Below are 19,935 nucleotides of genomic sequence, written 5' to 3'. Positions count from 1 at the left end.
GGTGGAAGATATGCAGTAGCATGTTTCATTTGACCACAATAAATATATTTAGTGAGTAAAATGGTCCTCTAAAATGTGTAACTATAAAAGGGGATTTTATAGAAAAAGGGTTATTTCCTTAGACAGTTAGAACCATATCACTGGTGTTCAGTGTTTTCTCAATCTAAGACAGGGTTTCTAAATAGCATCCGTCACTACTGATATTTTTGGCTAATTCTTTGTTGTGCTGATCTGTCCTGGGTATTGTAAGATATTTAACATATCCTTGGCCTCTACTGCTGGATATCAATACCAACCCTTTCCCCGAGGAAACAACCAAAAATGTCTCTAGACTTTGAAAAGTATTTGCTTGTGGGGCACAGTTTTTACCAAGTTCAGAATCACTGGTTTAAGGTACTTACTAGATGCATCTCAGGGGCTCCAAGGTGAGAAGAATAAGGAACCTCCCTGTGACTGACACTAGATCCCTTGCCCAAATATACACATCAACTTCATCACTCAAATCAGCCACCCAAACTCTTCCATTTCTAAGAATCAAGGCACTCCCATATTTGCTAAGACTATTCAGTTTCTAAGCACACTCTTTTTGCCCAATTTAGAATCATCTTTCTAATGCATAGATCTGAGTGCATTATTTAATACAACAGTGTAAGTATATTATAGATGACCTCAGGAAAAGAAAATATTCAAGATATCACCAACAAATTGAGTCAATAATGTATATATTATACTAGAATAAGTCACTTGTTCATGGTCAACATGAAAAGTTATTTGCATGTTCATATTGTAAAATATTGTAACACACTCTAGAAAATTAATATGGTAACATTAGAGTCTCCAGAATGGATTAGGAACATATTAAACACCAAAAAAAGAAAACCCTTCAAATCTCAAGCAATAGATTCCATTAGAGATATGGAAGTAAAATAATATATTTGATTAAAGGTTCATTGTCAAAGCTTGCCCTTATGTTTTTCTGAATTATACCAGAAATTCCTTTCACATTGTAAGGAGGATACTATTTGGTGTTGGGGCTAACATAAACACCAACAACAACGTGGGCAGGCTGAAGAATTACGATCACCAAAAGAAACACAATGAAAGCCCAGCCAATTCAGCCATTCAAGTTAGAGCATCAGAATTACCTGAAAACATCAGCATATCAAGCAAGAAAAACAGATTTTTTCATGGTGATTATTCTGCCCTCTTAAATTTTGACTTTTGTATCTATAGTCAGCATTACATCATGGGCTTATGCATAATGAGCACTCCATAAGTGTCAGTTACTGTACTAGGAGCTAAGTAGATAAAGGCAAGTCAGAAAATGTTCTGTTCTCATGGCACTTGGAATCTACTATTTATAAAAATGATTAAAGTATGCAAATGCATTTAAAGCCTAATTATCCTAGAAGTCTCAATTTTTTGGATGAATCTTGAAAAATAAACATGATTATTACAGAAACATGATTTCACTATATCTATGATCTCTTACTTAAATTGATGGCAAAAGGTGGCAATATCTGTTTTGGGAAATAATAAATACATATATCATGTTTTAATTTTGATTTATGAAGCTTTATATGACAATTTATAGGTTTTTCTGAACTTATGAAGAATAATTGCAATATAATAAAAATTTTTCATGTTAAAGTTAAAATCAGATAAATATTTGAATAAAAATTTAAAAATTATATGGCTTGGAATCTATCAAGTTGGGTACGTTATTGCTGGGAAAAAGGGAATTTAACACAAGTAATGATAGAGGCAGGAGGCAGAGAAATTTAAGGCAGACAGGGGCAGGTCCCTGGTGAAACCCACCTTTAAGCCAAAGTAGCCTGAAACCCATGGCCCAAAGCGAGAATGTCTATTCCTGTTTGCTCGCTCTCTCCCAATTGGTTCCTTTTGAATAATGCCTTTTTGCCAATCAAATGTTGCCTTTTGCAAAACTACCAATGGCCAACCCCACCTACCCCATCCTGTGCCTATAAAGACCCCAGACTCAGTCAGAAGAGGAGAGAGAAGCAGCTTGACTGGAGAGAGGCAACTTGACTTCAGAAAGACAGCTAGACTTCTCAGGAGAGGTGGCTTGACTTTAGAAAAGAACCAGCTGAACTTCAGGAGAAGATTACCTGCCCATCCCATCCCCTCTCCAGCTCCCCTCTCTGCTGAGAGCCATTTCCATTGCTAAATAAAATTCTCTGCCTTTACCATCCTTCAAGTGTCCAATTGATCAACCTCATTCTTTTTGGATGCTGGACAAGAGTTTGGGAGCCACCAATTGCAGGTATCCAAAAAAGGCTGTCACCACTGGCCCTTTGCTCTTGCTGGCAGAGGGCAGCTGCCACATGCAACGAGGCAAGGGGCCAACTGAGCTGATAACACACAGCTGTCTGCAGATGGAAGAGCTAAGACAGCATGTGACATGCCCTCTGGGGCTTCGGGGTCACAGGCCCCCACAACCTGGTCTGGGTGTGGGCCCCACACAGAGCTTGCTGGCCAGGTCCCACATGCACTCACTTGTGCCTGGTCTGGCTGTGAGTCCTGCACTCACTCACATGCATGCTCCCTCCCACAAGAGGTGAGCACAGCAGGTTGAGTAAATGTTCACCCCCATCACGAGTCTGACAAAGGGGCCAAGAGAAATCCAGCATCAGTAATTCTTAATTCTTATTTTAAAGTTATTTTATAATAAAATGTAAACTTAGATAGCATTTATGTAGAAACATATGATAAGTATTATTACTCTGTGACCAATTCATAGATTGGAATCCAGTGATCCAGTATCAGACAAAACAACCCCAACTTTTTATTTTTTAACTTTATGTCTACAAAAAATAAAGAAATGAATACCTATTGCATGACTAAAGATTCAAATTTATAATTTACTTCAATTAAGTGGTACTTATTTAACTTTCTCAAACCATCAGTAAAAGTGCTATGTTCTTTCATTCAAATGACTTTTGTTTTACAACTATTTGTGATTTTCTCTGGCATCCAAATATGCAAGAAGAAATTCTTTTTTAAAAAAATCAGGATGATAAACAATTAAGTTAAAAGTAACAAGAGGAGATAAAAATGTTTTCCTTTATAAAAGTGTTTATTTTATAATTTAATACAATTAGCATGTTTTGATAGTTTAAGTTCCTATGTATTTATAGCAAATAGGTAGAGAAAAGGCAAAAAGAAAATGAAAAAAATTAAATCGTTTTCAAATCAAGCTATTAAAAAGCAATGCCAAATGAGGATGTTGAAAAATGGAATATATTACTGAAATGACCTTATAAGACAAATAAAACCATAATTTCATTAATAAAATATATTTGACTAAACTCAGGTCTACATTATTAGAGCTTCATATAATATTAAATTCTCTCTTATTATTTTCTAGAAGTTCTACATTGAATTACCCAACTGTGACAGGCTCACTTCCACAGCTATCCTCATAGAATCTCCTCAAACCTTCCCCATTCCGGTTGAGAACAGAAGATTTAGGCTTTTGGAAATAAACTCTTTTCTGTAAGTCTGACTTTTAAAAATCATTATCAATGTGAGCACTGACCTGTGAACATTACAGCAATTAATTGTGGTAGTGCAGATTCTAAATTTGTCAGTGTCCACTCAATTTGTAAAATCGAGTAGACTAATTAAAGATAGTAATATACTGATAAGCATTTTATTACTTTATTCACTGAAGATACCAAACTAGCACTTTATATATAAATGATTTTTAAATGTTTAATTGACTTTGAAAATGTTAAGATAAGGAACAGTCTTGCAAAACTGAGTTCAATAGCTGTTTTCTAATTCCACTGTAATACCCCATAAGAGGATGCCACATTATTATATCATCTCCTGCTGCTCTCACACTGGCAGCATCATCAGTGCCCAGAGGCAGATCTGGGACTAAGATGGCTATTAATGAATCACAAGCTTACAAGGCTTAAAAATATAAATCAAAATTCAATATTTTGCAAATTTCAGATCTCCTTGGGAAACATGACAGAGTATTTATGTTCCATCATATTTATCAGGAAGGGGTAGTCCTGTGACTTTGACTTTTCAGACCAAGAAAGTTTAATATTTCACATGGATAACACATTGCATGTTTTGTTTTGAAATTTTTTGCATGTTAACAGCTACAAATGATGATCACACACTAGTATATATTTATACTTATGGACCAATTCGTCTATTAAATAGAGGATGGAAAGGAGAAGAGAACAAAGGAACTACTCCTTAATGAATCCTATCATATTCTAGACACGATGTAATATTTTGCACATTCTGTCTTCTAATGAAAAATCTTTGCTTAAAATGTATTCCTTATCTATATAGTTATCTACACATATAGAGTTATATTTACATCTATTGAAAGAGTATTTTTAATGTATTTCATGTTGGTACATATTCACACACATGCAAAACTGTTGAAGATAAATATAATAAAGAGCTCTGTACCTCCTTCCAGAAAATCTATAACATTTTGGCATATTTGCTCCTAATATCATTTAAGAAATATTGTCTTATAGTTTGTATTAGTCTGTTCAGGCTGCCATAACAGAATACCACACACTGGGTGGATTACACAATGGGAATTTATTTTATCACAATTCCGAAAGCTGAAAGTTTAAGGTGCCATCATGGTTGGTGCCTCGTGTGGCCTCCCTTCCTGGCTTGTAGATGCCTACTTTCTTGCTGTGTCCTTACACAACAAGAGATGACCATTCTCTTGCTGTGGCCTTTCTTCCTTGCAGTGGGGGTGGAGAGAGACAGAGAAAGGGAGAGAGGGCTGTGATGTATCTTCCTCTTCTTATAAGGATACCAGTCCTATTGGATTAGAGCCTCACTTTTATAAACTCATTTAACCTTAATTATTGCCCAAAAATAGTGTCTCCAAGTCTAATTATGTTGGGGCTTAGTGCTTCAATATAGAGATTCTGGGGAACACAGTTCAGTCCATAACATGTGTGCAGTTGCAAAATCCAATTAGCACTTCCTCAACTTTTTTTCCCTTGCCAGATAAAACTCTTATTGCGATATTCATTTATTTGCTCAGTCAACTAATATTTATTCAACCTCTACTATATGTGATTTACTGTCCTACATATTAGAAAACAACAATAAATAAAACGAGCAAAAACCCACAAGTGTATGTGGCTATACTTTACTTTGAGGCTGGGGGAGAGCAGAAAATAAACAACATAAATATGTAAAATATATGATATGTTAAGTGCTGATAAACGTATTGAAGCAGATGTAAAACAGGAAAGAAGGATAGGGAATGGAAACAGAGTGAAATCCCAAACAGGGTAATAATGTTAGCCCTTACCAAGAATGCAGTATTTTAGAAATACCTGAGGAAGATGAGTAAGTCTGCCAAGCTTATATTATCCTTATATATGTTTATGCATTTATCATTTTATATTATTTCCTTTGTTTATATCTATACAAAGTACTCTATGTTTACAAAATTATACAAGGGGATTCCACTTCTCAAGATGAGTATCTGGACTTAGACTATATACCCTCATGATATAAATAAGTGGAAATTGAAAGCAACTGTGAAATATGGTTTTAAGCTTGGAAAGTAGGAAGCACAGAACTATGACCTGTGAGAAAAGATAAATAAAAAAGGTGAGTCCTTAATTGCTATGGCTCTCTGCCAGGAGGAACCTTCAAGAAAGTGGTTAAGAAATGGGGTTTTCAAGTGACATTTGATAGCTTGAATGACTTGAAGAGACAAAGGAAATTATTTGGGTAGGCAGAGGTGGCTGGAATTTGCAGGGAAGAATTAGAAAGTGGAAAGCTACAAGGAGAAAAACCCCTAGAAATCTGCACTGGGTTCTTTAGACTTTGTTGCTGAATATAAAAGCTGCATATGTGTAAGATAAAACTCTACCTGCCTGAGCAAGAATGATTGGGGGACAGGGGTGTAAACTGAGGAATGTTTTTACATTTTGACCTGCCAGAGAGGAGAGTTCTCATTGAATAGTTAGTAGAGTCTCTAGACATTGTCACCTTTATTTTACAACTAGACTAGCCTCAGAACAAAGGCTATTCAAGACCCCCACAAAAAAGCTTAAAAATAAGCTCTGAAATAAAATCAAGCTGATCTCCCAGTAACTAAACTGGTTACTCCAACAAAATCCATCCCATATTGAAACACACACACACACACACACACACACACACACGAAAATCCAGCACTCAACAGATAAAAAAAAATAATGAGCATCAAATACAAAATTATTGTATATGCCAAGAAGAAGAAAAAAGTGAACTCTTAACCAAGAGAAATGTTATTCAGTAGACGCATAACCAGAAATGAAAGAGATAATGCTATAAAATAAAAGCTGTTATAAATTTGTTCAAGTATTTAAAGGAAAACATAAAATAATTAGGCAAGAAATGGAATATACAACAAAGTAATCAGATAAAACTTCTACAGATGAAAGTAAAATATATGATATAAATAATTCACTAGATGGTATTAAAAGCATATTGGATATAGCGGAAGGAAAGATTGGTGAATTTGAAGACATAGCAATAGAAACTATGCAAATTGAAGCACATAGAGAAAAAAAGGAAAAAAATGAAATGAACAGAGCATACTAACCTATGAGACAATATTAAACATTACAACATATGTGAAACTGTAATTTTTAAAGGGAGAAAGGGGAGCAGAAAAAAATTTCAAGAAGTAATGTCAAAAATCTACATTTGATGAAAACGAAAAACTCACAGATTCAGGAAGTTTAGCAAACACAACACGGAGACAAGAATTACTGCCGGCTTCTTCCTCAGAAACCGCTTAATTAAACCAGAAGAAAAATGGAACTACATTGTCAAATAGAATTCTATATCCAGCTAAACTTTATTCCAAAATTATTTTTTAAAAAGATAATTTTGCTTTTAGTCAAACAAACACTGAAAGAATGTGCTGCCAACAAACAGCACTAAAAAAAAAACCCATAAAGAGATGCTTCCTCATGGGGAAGAAAAATGACACCAGATGGAAACGCTAAATTTCACAAAGGAATGAAAAATGAAAAATGTTCAATCTGTAGGTAAATATAAAACATTTTCGGCCGGGAGCAGTGGCTCACGCCTGTAATCCTAGCACTTTGGGAGGCCGAGGCGGGCGGATCACGAGGTCAGGAGATCCAGACCATCCTGGCTAACACGGTGAAACCCCGTCTCTACTAAAAATACAAAAAATTAGCCGGGCGTGGTAGCGGGCGCCTGTAGTCCCAGCTACTCAGGAGGCTGAAGCAGGAGAATGGCGTGAACCCGGGAGGCGGAGCTTGCAGTGAGCCGAGATTGCGCCACTGCACTCCAGCCTGGGCGACAGAGCGAGACTCCGTCTCAAAAAAAAAAAAAAAAAAAAATTATTCTCATTCACCGTGTTCTTTGATAAGTCATGTACTGTTCCAAGAAAACTAATAACCAGGAATTATAGAATTTATAACATATGTAGAAGTAAATGCTATGGGAACAATCACCCAAAGAGTAAAGTGGAAACGGAAGTATAGAGTTTTGGAGTCCTCATATGTGAAGGTGTACATGGCATAAAGGGAGACTAGGATACGTTGCCAGTGCCTATTTCATCTTGAGCGACCATATTTTAAAAGTCGTCTAGATAATAAACAAAGAGTAAAAATAAAAGGAAAAGGAGGAAAAGAACAAGCTAGAACAGATTAGAAAGTGGAAAGCAAGTAGGAGAACTATAATTTCAAATCAAACTATATTAATAATTACACTAAAAACTAACGATTCAAAGTTCTAAAAAAGCAGAGATTGACAAATTGTGTTTTAAAATAAACCATATACAGCCTGAAAGACACACAATTTAAATATAAAGACCGAGATAAATCTAATATTAATATTGGTGACAAACGAATCATAAGGATGCTGGAGTAGCTCTTCACACAAAGCATATTTCAAAATATATATTATTATGTGGAATAAAGACAGACTCTTTATAATGACAAAAGGGCAAATTCATCAAAAACATTAAACAATCCTAAACGTGTATGAACCTAATATCAGAACTTCAATATGCATAAAACAAAAACTGATGGAATGAAAAATGTGGTAGACTAAACTACAACTCCAATAGGAGATTTCAGCCAATATATCTACTGTTATGATTAGTAGAGGCAAATGATGACAGGGAGCCAAATGCATAGTGCAATGTCAAATGATTATTGCCTTTTAAAATATGTATGCTGGCCTGGCCATTATGCAGTGTGTTGATAAATAGAAATCCTGTTATAGCTTGATATTGAGAGTAAATTGTGAAAACAGCTAAGAATATTTTCCCTGGAATGAAATGTCATATTGCATACTGAACTTTTATGGTTTAAAATTGCACACTAGCATCAATACAAATTTACTTTATCATATTAAAGGTCACAAGAAAGTGCTTAATAAGACAAACTCAATTATTAATACTTAACTAAGCAATATGATTGAAGATATGTAATTAAAGCAGAATTCATAACATCCACAACTATGTATGCTACAACATTACAAAAATGTACTTTATAATAAAACAAAGTTAATTAACTAATGAGTGGATAATGAAAATCAGCCAACTCGATCATTCTCCAAATCTATAAGCTATGAAACTCACAAAATTAGGCAAAGAATATACTTCTACTATATCTGTGTGTGTGTGTATGTTTATGAATGTGTGTGTGTCTCTCTCTCTTCATTTTCATAATCTGAAATAATGAAAAGTCTACTGAGAAATACAAGCATCTTTGATTGTAAGATCTTGGTAGGTCAAGGAAGTTCTCTTTGGAAGTAACTTAAAGGTAAATGTTTTCCACTACATTTGATACAAGATCAAGAGTTTACTTGGGTATGAATCGACATTAGGAGAGAAATTCAGAGCCTAGTATAAGACAAAGGTAGTAGGAAGGCACTTTTGTGCTAGACAAGTGGAGTTTCAAAACTCTTCAAGCTAAAAGGAAATCAATATTTATTTACTTTTTTAAAACACACAATTTCTTAGCCTTAGAGAGTGCTAATTGCTTGTCACAGAAGTACAACTTTTCCAGATAAGGCAACTAGAGTTCATTTAGGAAGTAATCTCACATTTCACAGAAATGGTTTTAGGAAGCACTGTCAAAATATACATATATTTCTGTATATTTAGCTGTCATTTATCCACTTAAATTATTTTGGTACATTTTTCCAATTTTACTTCTGATGATTCAGACTATGCCATCATTTTGAGTACAGAAAAGACAGATAATACTTACTGTATATTGTTTGCACATATGTCATAAAAGCCACAAACATTATACATTTATAATATACAAACTCAGTGGTGTAAGATACTTTTTATGGTATAACTGGACTAAGTATTTCTCCAAGTGACAACATTAGAAAGGAAAATATATTTTCTTTCATGTCTTGGGGTAGATGCTAAGTATAGACTTTTGTGGGTCTTTTATAGCCAGAAAAAAAGGTTTATCAGGTTACATCTAGTTTCTTTGAGAATACACAGTGCTCCTAGCTTGAGGATACTTTTCTCCCACTATCTATGAGTAACTAATTTAGTGGCATATAAATATCTTCTTTCCCAATAATGATATAAACTCAGGAAATATTCCAATATTGTTAAACCATTCATTCATTCAATGGAAAAACTGGATATCCATATGCAGAAGAACCAGCAGATATTTGTTGATCACTAATTATAGGCTAGGAACTGTCCTGGGTGCAGGGAGATATAGCAGTGAACACAATAGGCAATGTTTTTGCTTTCTTGGAGCTTATAGTCTAGAAGGGAGATATGGATAATCAAATAAGTTACATGTATCTGTGTATATACATATATAATACATACACAAATATTTGTAAATAGCAATATATCCTATACATAAAATTAGGGATAAGAGGAGGATAAGGAACCCTGAAAGGAGAAGGGATAATAGTCCCTTCTATGACGTCTGTGTAAGACATCACTAAAAATGTGGTATTGGTGTGAGGACCTGAAGCTGAGGGCCCTAACCACAGGAAAGCTAGAATCAAGAGGGCTGTAGCCAAACGGGAGGAGAAATCAAGGCGAAGACTATGGTGGCAGAGTGAGTTTTCAGCTTCTAGTCACAACAGATTTAAACGTGGATAAAAGGCCAAAGTAGTGTAAGGCTGTTGCAGTTTTGTGAAGTATAAGAAATTTCTTGGGCTCCCTTTTCATTCCTCTTGATGGAATCCTGTAAGCCAGGGAGGGAAAATCTTAACCGACTTTAGTTTTCTTTTTTAGGGATTGCAAACAAAGGGGATTTGTGCTAAACTTGTGTGATAGTTAATACTGAGGGTCAAGTTGATTGGATTGAAGGATGCAAAGTATTGTTCCTGGGTGTGTCTATGGAGTATGTTGCCAAAGGAGATTCATATTTGAGTCAGTGGACTGAGAAAGGCAGACCCACCCTCAATTTGGGTGGCAAAATCTAATCAGCTGCCAGTGTGGCCAGAATAAAAGCAAGCCATCTAAATTTTATTTTGAATTGCAGCTCCGATAATTCTCACGTGTTATGGGAGGGACCTGGTGGGAGATAATTGAATCATGAGGGCAGTTTCCCCTACAATGTTCTCATGTTAGTGAATAAGTCTCTTAAGATCTGATGTTTTTACAAGGGGTTTCCCTTTTCACTTGGTTTTTATTCTTTCTTGCCTGCCACCACGTAAGATGTGCTTTTCACCTTCCACCATGATTGTGAGGCCTCCCCATCCACATGGAACTGAGTCCATTAAACCTCTTTTTCTTTATAAATTATCCAGTCTCGGTTACGTCTTTATCAGCAGCATGAAAATGTACTAATGTAAATTGTGACTCTATTCTATCTAACATTAATTTTCTTTTAATCCATGACTCTGATTGCATGAATAGAGTCATATATACTTTGTAGATAAGTACTCTTTGCATGAAAAGCTATAGTGTAATTATATATATATATATATATATATATATATATAATTTTTTTTTTTTTTGAGACGGAGTCTCACTCTGTCTCCAGGATGGAGTGCAGTGGTGCAATCTCAGCTCATTGCAACCTCCACCTCCCTGGTTCAAGTGATTCTCCTGCCTCAGCCTCCTGAGTAGCTGGGACTACAGGCGCACGTCACCACATCCAGTTAATTTTTGTATTTTTAGTAGAGACAGGGTTTCACCATGTTGGCCAGGATGGTCTCCATCTCTTGACCTTGTGATCCACCTACCTCAGCCTCCCAAAGTGCTAGGATTACAGGCATGAGCTACTGCGCCTGGCCTATAGTGTCATTATTAAATGCATAAGAAGAATAAACACTTTGGGAAAATAAAGTCAAAACTGTTTTTACAGTAACAAAATCTTGAGAAATATTCTATAGGAAAAATAGCTTCAGCTAAATTTTCTATCAAGTTTCTTGTTCAAAATTCTAGTGATGTTCATGGTATATACTTCATAAAACTCCTGGTGAGGAGGTAGGAGGATCTTTTAATTTTTTAATCCACTTCTGGCAGCAGTGAGAGATTATAAGAGGCTTGTTTTTAATCTTCTCACAGATCAGATTTAGTGATTTTAATCTTCTCTCATTTTGTACTTGTACTGCCTGAATTCTGAAGTGTAACATTTCATCAATATGGATCAAGACTACTCACAACTTACTGTATTATTGTTCACAGTAGATGTGAAAGGGCTGTTATTTCTTTATTTTTATGCTTGTTTAATTACCAAGAAAAGAAGGGAATTAGATTATAGCAAAAAGAATAACAAAATACAGATTGGATGTGCACTATTACAATCAAGAATTAACTAGTTGAACCGATTAAAACAAATTTGTAAATGTGTTCATCTAATGTACAATTTAGCCTTACTAGATTTGAAATACTGACATCCTATAATCTGTTAAATGTTATATTTGGGTTCAAACTGCTGCATATAGAGTTTAACTCTAATATTTTCAATTGAAGAAAACAAACATCCTTTCACTGAAAAAAAAAATCTCGATTGGATGGTAAATTTCTGATGTTCTATGGATTGGAGCAAATACTAGGTGCTTATCTACAATATCAGATAGAGTAATTTTCTTTTTTAAAACATTTCTTTTCTTTTTTTTTTTTTTTTTTTGTGTTAAGACAGAGACTCACTCTGTTGCCCAGGCTGGGGTGCAGTGGTGCCATCTTGGCTCACTCCAACTGCCGCTTCCCAGATTCAAGCTATTCTCCTGCCTCAGTCTCCTGAGTAGCTGGGAGTAGCTGGGATTACAGGTATGCACCACCACGCCCAGCTAATTTTTGTATTTTTAGTAGAGACGGGGTTTTGTCATGTTGGCCAAGCTGGTCTCGAACTCCAGACCTTTGGTGATCCACCCGCCTTGGCCTCCCAAAGTGCTGGGATTATAGGAGTGAGCCACTGTGCCTGGCCAGGTGGAGTAATTTTTTTCTACTACTTTTAAATTTTGTTAAGTACCTCAGGGTTTCCTACTCTTCCATTTAAATGTTCTTAAATGCTTTACTCTTTGTTTCTAAGTAACAACATAGCCAACAACTGTGGTTACATCCATCCACCCTGTAGGTTCAGCTTCTGAACAGCAGAGTGCTGGCACAGGGAAGAGTTTTCAGCTCATATCAACTGAATAAAGAAAGGGTCTGTTTTTGCTTTTTTAGAAATTAAGATACACCAGCCTGTAGTATTGTCTGATTTGGTCATTCCTAAAAGTAGTTTTTTTTGGTTGTTGTTCACTTTATATGTTCCATTCCTATCTTGTTTCTTGTTTACTTTAAATAGCATACTGCCTATTTGAATTGGTACTTTAATTCTTTGCATACGTTTTTACTATTTTTGTGTGCTTATTCAAATGTATCCCTTATGTTTCCAGTCTTTGTAACATGTTACTATAAAGAATGGTTTTCCCTCCACAACATCCAACAAAATGTTGGTGGCATCTGCTTTGCTTATCATCTCACAATGGCATCTCTTTCTCCATGTAAGACATTATGGTTTATTGACTCCTGCCCAGTTCTTGGAATTTTGTGTTCTTGTCTCAGTTTTGGTGTAAAAAGATAATATTTTAATTCCTTTGGGTGACAAGAGTAAAATTTCTGCTTGGGAGTCTAGGTGAAAATGGATTATCTTAGACTGGGCAGAATTATGGAGATAATGACAGTTAATACGCTTTTTGTAATACAATTTAACAAACCTCTTTGTTCTCCCTGTATAGAAGCATTCTTTTTTAACCTTTCCTTGCCTGTGTCCTTAGGTATATGTAGGTATTCCCTATCTGTAAGTCCTTCAGAGCAACCAAATCAGATTTTTGTCAGTTGTTCCAAAGTATTCAGAAAACATACAGAGAGAGGGGTAAACAAAAGGAAACAAAAAGAAAAATTACCGCCTCTCATGTCAGTACCAGAAATTGTGTGGAGGACAGCAGATGTACAGGCACAGAAAGGCTTACTCTTTATTGTCCACAATTCATTTTGGAATGTTATTTAATGTCTTTCACAATGCAAGAATTTTTGACCTACATTCCAAATGGCACAAAAATATAAAACAGATGTCAAAACTAAAAATGAGAATTCCAGTAAAGTAAGTAGTTTAATATGCCTTCCAATTCACTAATATTTTCTTTTGTTGTATCTAATATGCTTCTCTCAAGTGCTCTTTATTGCAATAAGAAAAAAGTGATTGTTTTTTAAAAATGTATACCTTCATCAAAATATTTTTCTTGTGGACACAAAAAATAAAATGTAATGGAATACGATTTAACTTTTACAATACTTTTTACATTTAAATTAAATTTCTTCAGTATCCAGTATTAAATGCTTTTGCTTTCAATTACTACATGGCCATTTTTTCAATTAAAAATTAGTGTAAATTGATCCCTCAGCATTCCAGTACTAATATCAGCATACCTGCTCTACTTATATTATCTAGTGGATTGTGGTATCTCTGTCCAAAAGTAGGCAAGAGAGAAACTTGGAAAAGTAAGAACAATAGTATTTTTTTAATTGCTCAATTTATAATGGAATCTTGATATATCTCTGTAATCTCATTTTGAATGATCCAGCATTGGCCTTCAAATAACTCTTGGCACCAGATAATATTTAGCACAAAGCCAAAAAACATAATAAAATTTACATGAAAAAACAAAATCCCTTTGCCAATCATAGTATATGCATTTAAGTAGTTAATTTTCCTGAGATTAATTGCTTTTCCAAATAACTCACCTGTGTGTATTCAAGTAATGTTTCACTGGGGATAACTATAACTCACAAAATAGTACTAACAACTTCACCCTCAATGTCTTTGCTTTGCTTAAACAAACTATGCTATGCCTATTATTCTGGAACCACAATGCTGAACATGATCAAATGGAAGTGACACTTTGGTATCCAAGGAAGACATACTTACTTAAAGTACAGTTTGTGGCAGGCACTGAGCCAGGAATGGTGAAAGCCAATACAGCTAAGGCCATCTCTTCACTTAATTTTGCCTCAACACTGTGTGGCTGTTACCTATTCTCCACACCCAGCTTTCTCAGTGGCCTGAATAGGATTTGGATAGCCTGGAACCCTTCTGAAATGGCATGGCGTGTAACATTGCCTAGCCTTACATATAGTGTTCTATATTGCTAAAGTTCCAAAATTATAAAAGGTATGGTTCCTCTCAGTTTCAGAGGCATGCTAAATACCAAGAAATCCCACAGCTTATTATGCCTGCTACCTGCCAGCATCTGAGGATGTGCTAAATGACTGCCTTTAGTTACAATCAGTGTGTTCCCCAGAGGATTCTGGCCATCCAGCAGGGCACGCAGACAGCATATCTGTTTGTGTTTCAAGAAAAATGAATTGCTGAACATTCTATTGGGAAAATCATCCACATCTAAAGTCATTTAAGGCCTAAACAAACACAATGCCAACAAAAAAACTGGAAATTCCTACAACCTTCCAAACATTGACTGTAATTCTAGGTAAACTAATGAGTAATGACATTATTATATTGTAATATAATTATAATATAATATACTCCAGTTTGGACAAAACTCTAGAAGATGTGTCTCACCTAAAGTTTTAAGAATGATATATATTTATTTCTGAAGAATAGTTGAGTCTCAAAAATACAAGGATAGTAACCATATCTTTTGTTTCTATTTTCCTCTATCCAAATATAGAACTATTTTTTAATAAAAAAAATATGCACACCATGTTTGTGCTCAGTGTCTCGGAGAAACCACTCTTTTGGTCTAAGCATATGCTGTTAAGAATTTTGGGAAGACAGAAATGAAAATGGCTACCCAGGAGAAGGGTGCACAAGCAGGTATCTCCCAGATTAAAACAGATTGTTGTTATTATTACCTTTACAATTTTTATTCATGGATTACATTCTTGAAAATGTTAGATCTTATTTCATCTTCAAGAATACAAGCTCTTGAGAATTAAGCTTGTTTTATAGAGATCACTGGCCAGATTTCAATTCAGCAAAAATAACTTATATTTAGATACAGAACTTTTCAGTTTATTATATATATTCATGGACTTTATCATTTAATTTTCAAAGTAACTCCTTAAAATTTCTTATCTGCAGATGCAGAAAGTGGAATTAGAAAAATTATGTGTCCAGTGTTGCCACTACAGAATATAGTGCAGGAGTTACATCTACATTTTTTGGTTCTAGGATTTTCATTGATACATAGATGTAAAATAAAATTAAAATAATAGAAGTGAATTCTGACAAACATGATGAGATTGTTCATCTAGAAACAAGTCATTATTACTCGAATAAGGTGGCCATGAGATTTTCACAGCAAATGAATAAAAGAGAATGACTATTTATTGATTATGTTGTTTGAGTATTCATTTTGCTACTTGGTGAAGGTTTGAGTCTGTATCTAATATATTTGAAATGGAAAAACATCCCACATCCCCAAGTAAATAACATCTTTGAGCCCAAAGGGAAAAGTCAATATGTGAACAAGTCAACTAAGCAAAATATAATGAAGTAAAATTTTAAGCAAAATGGGGAATACCTAAACAAAATGATTCCATATTTCTATTTATCCATCCTTGAGGTTGAAGTTGACAATGGAATTATGGTCATCATCTTTTGAAGAGATAGTTTTACCTTCTCACATTCTGAATTTGAATGTGTTTAGAGGCCATGTGAAATTAGGCAATATGGGATTAAATGATAATTTCCTGCATTAAGCTTTACTGGAGTATGTTTCATAGCATTACAGAAAAAAAAAAGGTTATTTTGATGCACTTAAGGAAGATAGAATTCTTCATAAAATGAGATTAAATTTCTCTTTATTCAGAGAGGAAAGCTGATTCCACAGAGAAAAATGCAACTACAAACCATAGCCAGAGATACAGACTGTAAAGTTCAGGTTAAAGAGAAAGGATTTAAACATGGCCAACATTAAAATTTGCAAAGCCTATTGAGCTAGAATTATATTTTTTATTGAAGTTCTGCTAGTTCTAGTAAGAAAGACTCAGGGAAGTTCTGTTTATCTATCTTTGAACTATTCAGTGCTATTAGGTCAATAAGGCCCTTTGAATGGACAGTTCAGTCATATAACTCAGTTCTGTGTGGCTTGGACGGATGGTTTAGGTTTTCTCATACCAGGACCAGCAAAAAATAATAAGCCCTCATTACATAATGTGAATCACAGACTGACTCGCCACCTCCTGGCAAAGACACCATTTATTAAATTAAACTGCATTTTGCTGTAACAAGAAAATAACATATTCTTGAACTAGGAAGCCAATTAAGCCACACTCATTTTCAGTTTTCTCATTATAGTATCTTTGCAGAGACATTGGGTTCCATTTTATTTATGATAATGTGTTTATCATCTTCCAGGATCTATAATAACAGGTGGTTCTATGGTGAAAACTGGTGTGGAGGTTGGGATGACATTAAGAAATTAAAGATCTCAATAAATAGGAGATTAGGTCATGTTTATGGATTGGAAAGCCTTACATTATGAATTGCAGATTCTCTTAAAATTAATCCAGAAATTATATATGATATTAATCATGATTCTAACAGGGTGTGTGTATGTGTTTGTCTTGGTGAAATTGGCATGTTTTCAGAAAGTTACATAGAAATGCCATCAGGCCAAGATAATCTTGAAGAGCAAAGTGGAAGGAGTTGGATCAGGTATCAAGTTATTCTATACCTACAGCATTTAGTACTGGATAGTATTGGTACAGACAGAGAAAAATAGAAGAGGGGAATGGAATGCTGAGTCTAGAAGCAAATTCAGCCCTACACGGGCAGTAAGTGAAGTGTGACATTTGTCCTGAAGAGCAACAGGGAATAAAAAACTTTTCAATAAATTGTGATAGGGCAATTGAATATCCACATATCTAATAAACTGTGATTAGGCAATAGAAAAACAATTCTATTTGCTAGCTTATACTATTTATAAACTACTATAAAAATAAATGTGAGTGTAAAACAAAGCTTTTAGAAAATGATATGGAAGAATAACTTCATGACCTTGAAAGAATTTCTAGAACTTTTAGGGAAATTATTTCCAAACATAGTATAAACAATTTAACCATAAAGAAAATAACTACATTTGAGCAAATTCAAATTAAAACTTCCCTTTATTAAAACAACCAAGAGGGGCCAGGTGTGGTGGCTCACGCCTGTAATCCCAGCACTTTGGGAGGCTGAGGCGGGCAGATCATTTGAGGTCAGGAGTTCAAGACCAACCTAGCCAACATGGTGAAACCCCGTCTCTACTAAAAAGACAAAAAATTAGCTGTGTGTGGTGTCCTGCATCTGTAATTCCAGCTACTCGGGAGGCTGAGGCAGGAGAATCGCTGGAACCTGGGAGGCGGAGGTTGCAGTGAGCTGAGATCACGCCACTGCACTCCTGTCTGGGTGACAGAGCGAGACTCTGTCTTAAACAAACAAACAAACAAAAACCAAGAGGAGAGTGTAATGGCAAATCATCATGGAAGAAGATATCTGTACCACATTTAACAAATAGAGGGAACTGGTCTGGAATGGAAAGTGTATCTACAAACCAACAAAGAGAAGGCTGAAAACCTGATGGAAAATAAGCTTTAGGGTTGAAGATGGATGGTACAAAAGAAGAATTACATATGTACAATAAACTTGTGAGGAAGTGCTCCACTTTGTAAGAAGACAAGGAAATAAAAATTATGTTTAAAATAAGATATCACTCCTCATCCAGTATCATAGATAAATTGACAGTACGACATATCAGTGAAGATAGGAGGCAAAACAGAACCATCATATATACAGGTGGTTCTGTGAGTTAGTACCATTACTTTAAAAAAATTCAACTCTATGAACCAATGTTTATGCTTACAGCTATACTCCATAGAAATGTGTCTTCACATGTACCAAAAATAAAAAAATGTGTGTATCACCGATATTCCTAATATAAACAATAAAGGATATTAATAATAGATGGGATATATTATAATTAAGATACTTACAATAATGTTTTATATTATACTAATATAATTAATAGAAGAGACAAGTGGTATTATATTTGTATGATACAATACTACATAACAATAAAAATGCATACAATTGCTACATACTACAACATGGATGAATCCCAAACGTAAACATAATACTCAATGAAACATAATGTTCAATGAAAGGAGACAGACAAAAAAGAATACAATGTGTGTGATTCCACTTATACAGTGTTTTAAAATTAACAAAGATCAAAGTAAACTACAGTGTTAGAAGTAAGAGCAGAATTAGCTTAGAGGGAGGGGTAGGGATCCAAAGAGAACACAAAGTGGGGGCTTTTTCAAGTCCTTGCCATGTTCTAGTTCATGACTTAAGTGGCAGTTACACAACTATATTTTGTGACAATTAATTTAGCTATATTTTAGTTTATTGTACTTTTTGCTATGTGTTATATTTAATTTTTTTTGCTTTTAAAAACTTACTTCTGTAGGATTTGCAGAAATAAATATTTATAAAAGTCTCATTCTACTATATCTGATGACTATAATGTAATAGGTTTCTTTGTGCCTTATGAGTATGTTCTGTTCTGCACAAATAGATTCTCTTGCATTGTAGCAACTAGAATATGGCCACCTTGCCCTTAAGTCTTAGCTATAGCCTGGGCTAGAGAGAAGATGTTTGCAACCAGACCTTGAACCCTGTTGGAGTCCTAGTGGAGATAACTGATCTAACACTTTCCTGCAGGGAAAAGTGAGAACGTGGAGAGCAGCCTCCAAATAGACCAGCAAGCATTAGACTACACAGACACATAAACCACATCAATATCTAGAGCTCAGGGATGTGAAGATTTTCTTCCTTGTCCTCAAAAAAACAATGAAAGATCTAAAGGAGAATAAATGGAATTCTTACCTTTTGCCCCTGAGTCTGTAAATGTAATAAAACATTTGGGATTAAAAAGGCTTCAAGTGCCACAACCCAAAGAGGGAACTGCCCATAATTCCATCTGAATAGTAATGCACTTGTCTAAGAGCAAGCCTCTAGCAGGTGGTAGAGCCCATCAGTCTCACATGGAACCTAGGTTCTTCACCACAAAGGTCAGTGTCTGTCTTGCAACCAGAGACCTAAAATGCCTTATTGCACCAGAAACTGTAGAAGAAGTTGAGAATTTTATGCATGATAAAACTTAAATATATACCAGTGGCCCAGATGTATATGATCTTACTGACTGATTTATAATTTCAAATGAGCTAACTTGTATAAAAATGATAATACCAATAAAATTGATTTTAAGTTGTTTAGAGAAACAACATGAGTTTAGTATCTAATGTTGTTACTAAAAAAATTATCTAATAGTTTTGAATGTTTACTATATTCGAGGCATTATTTTGAGTGCTTTACAAGAATCAAATTTAAATTTTACCACAGTTCTGTGGGTAAAGTGCTATTATTTTCCCCGTTTTACAACAAGGGAACAGAA

General features: G+C 34.8%; 1 protein-coding gene across 3 annotated transcripts in view; it reads right to left on the bottom strand.

The window, feature by feature from the left end:
- GPC5 (glypican 5) overlaps window positions 1-19,935 on the bottom strand; it is a 1,468,617-nt gene that overhangs the window by 851,790 nt on the left and 596,892 nt on the right. The gene's annotated exons all lie outside the window — the stretch shown is intronic.

Source organism: Homo sapiens, chromosome 13 (assembly GCF_000001405.40).
Source record: "Homo sapiens chromosome 13, GRCh38.p14 Primary Assembly".
NCBI lineage: Eukaryota > Metazoa > Chordata > Mammalia > Primates > Hominidae > Homo > Homo sapiens.
This window is presented reverse-complemented; position numbering and strand designations above follow the sequence as displayed.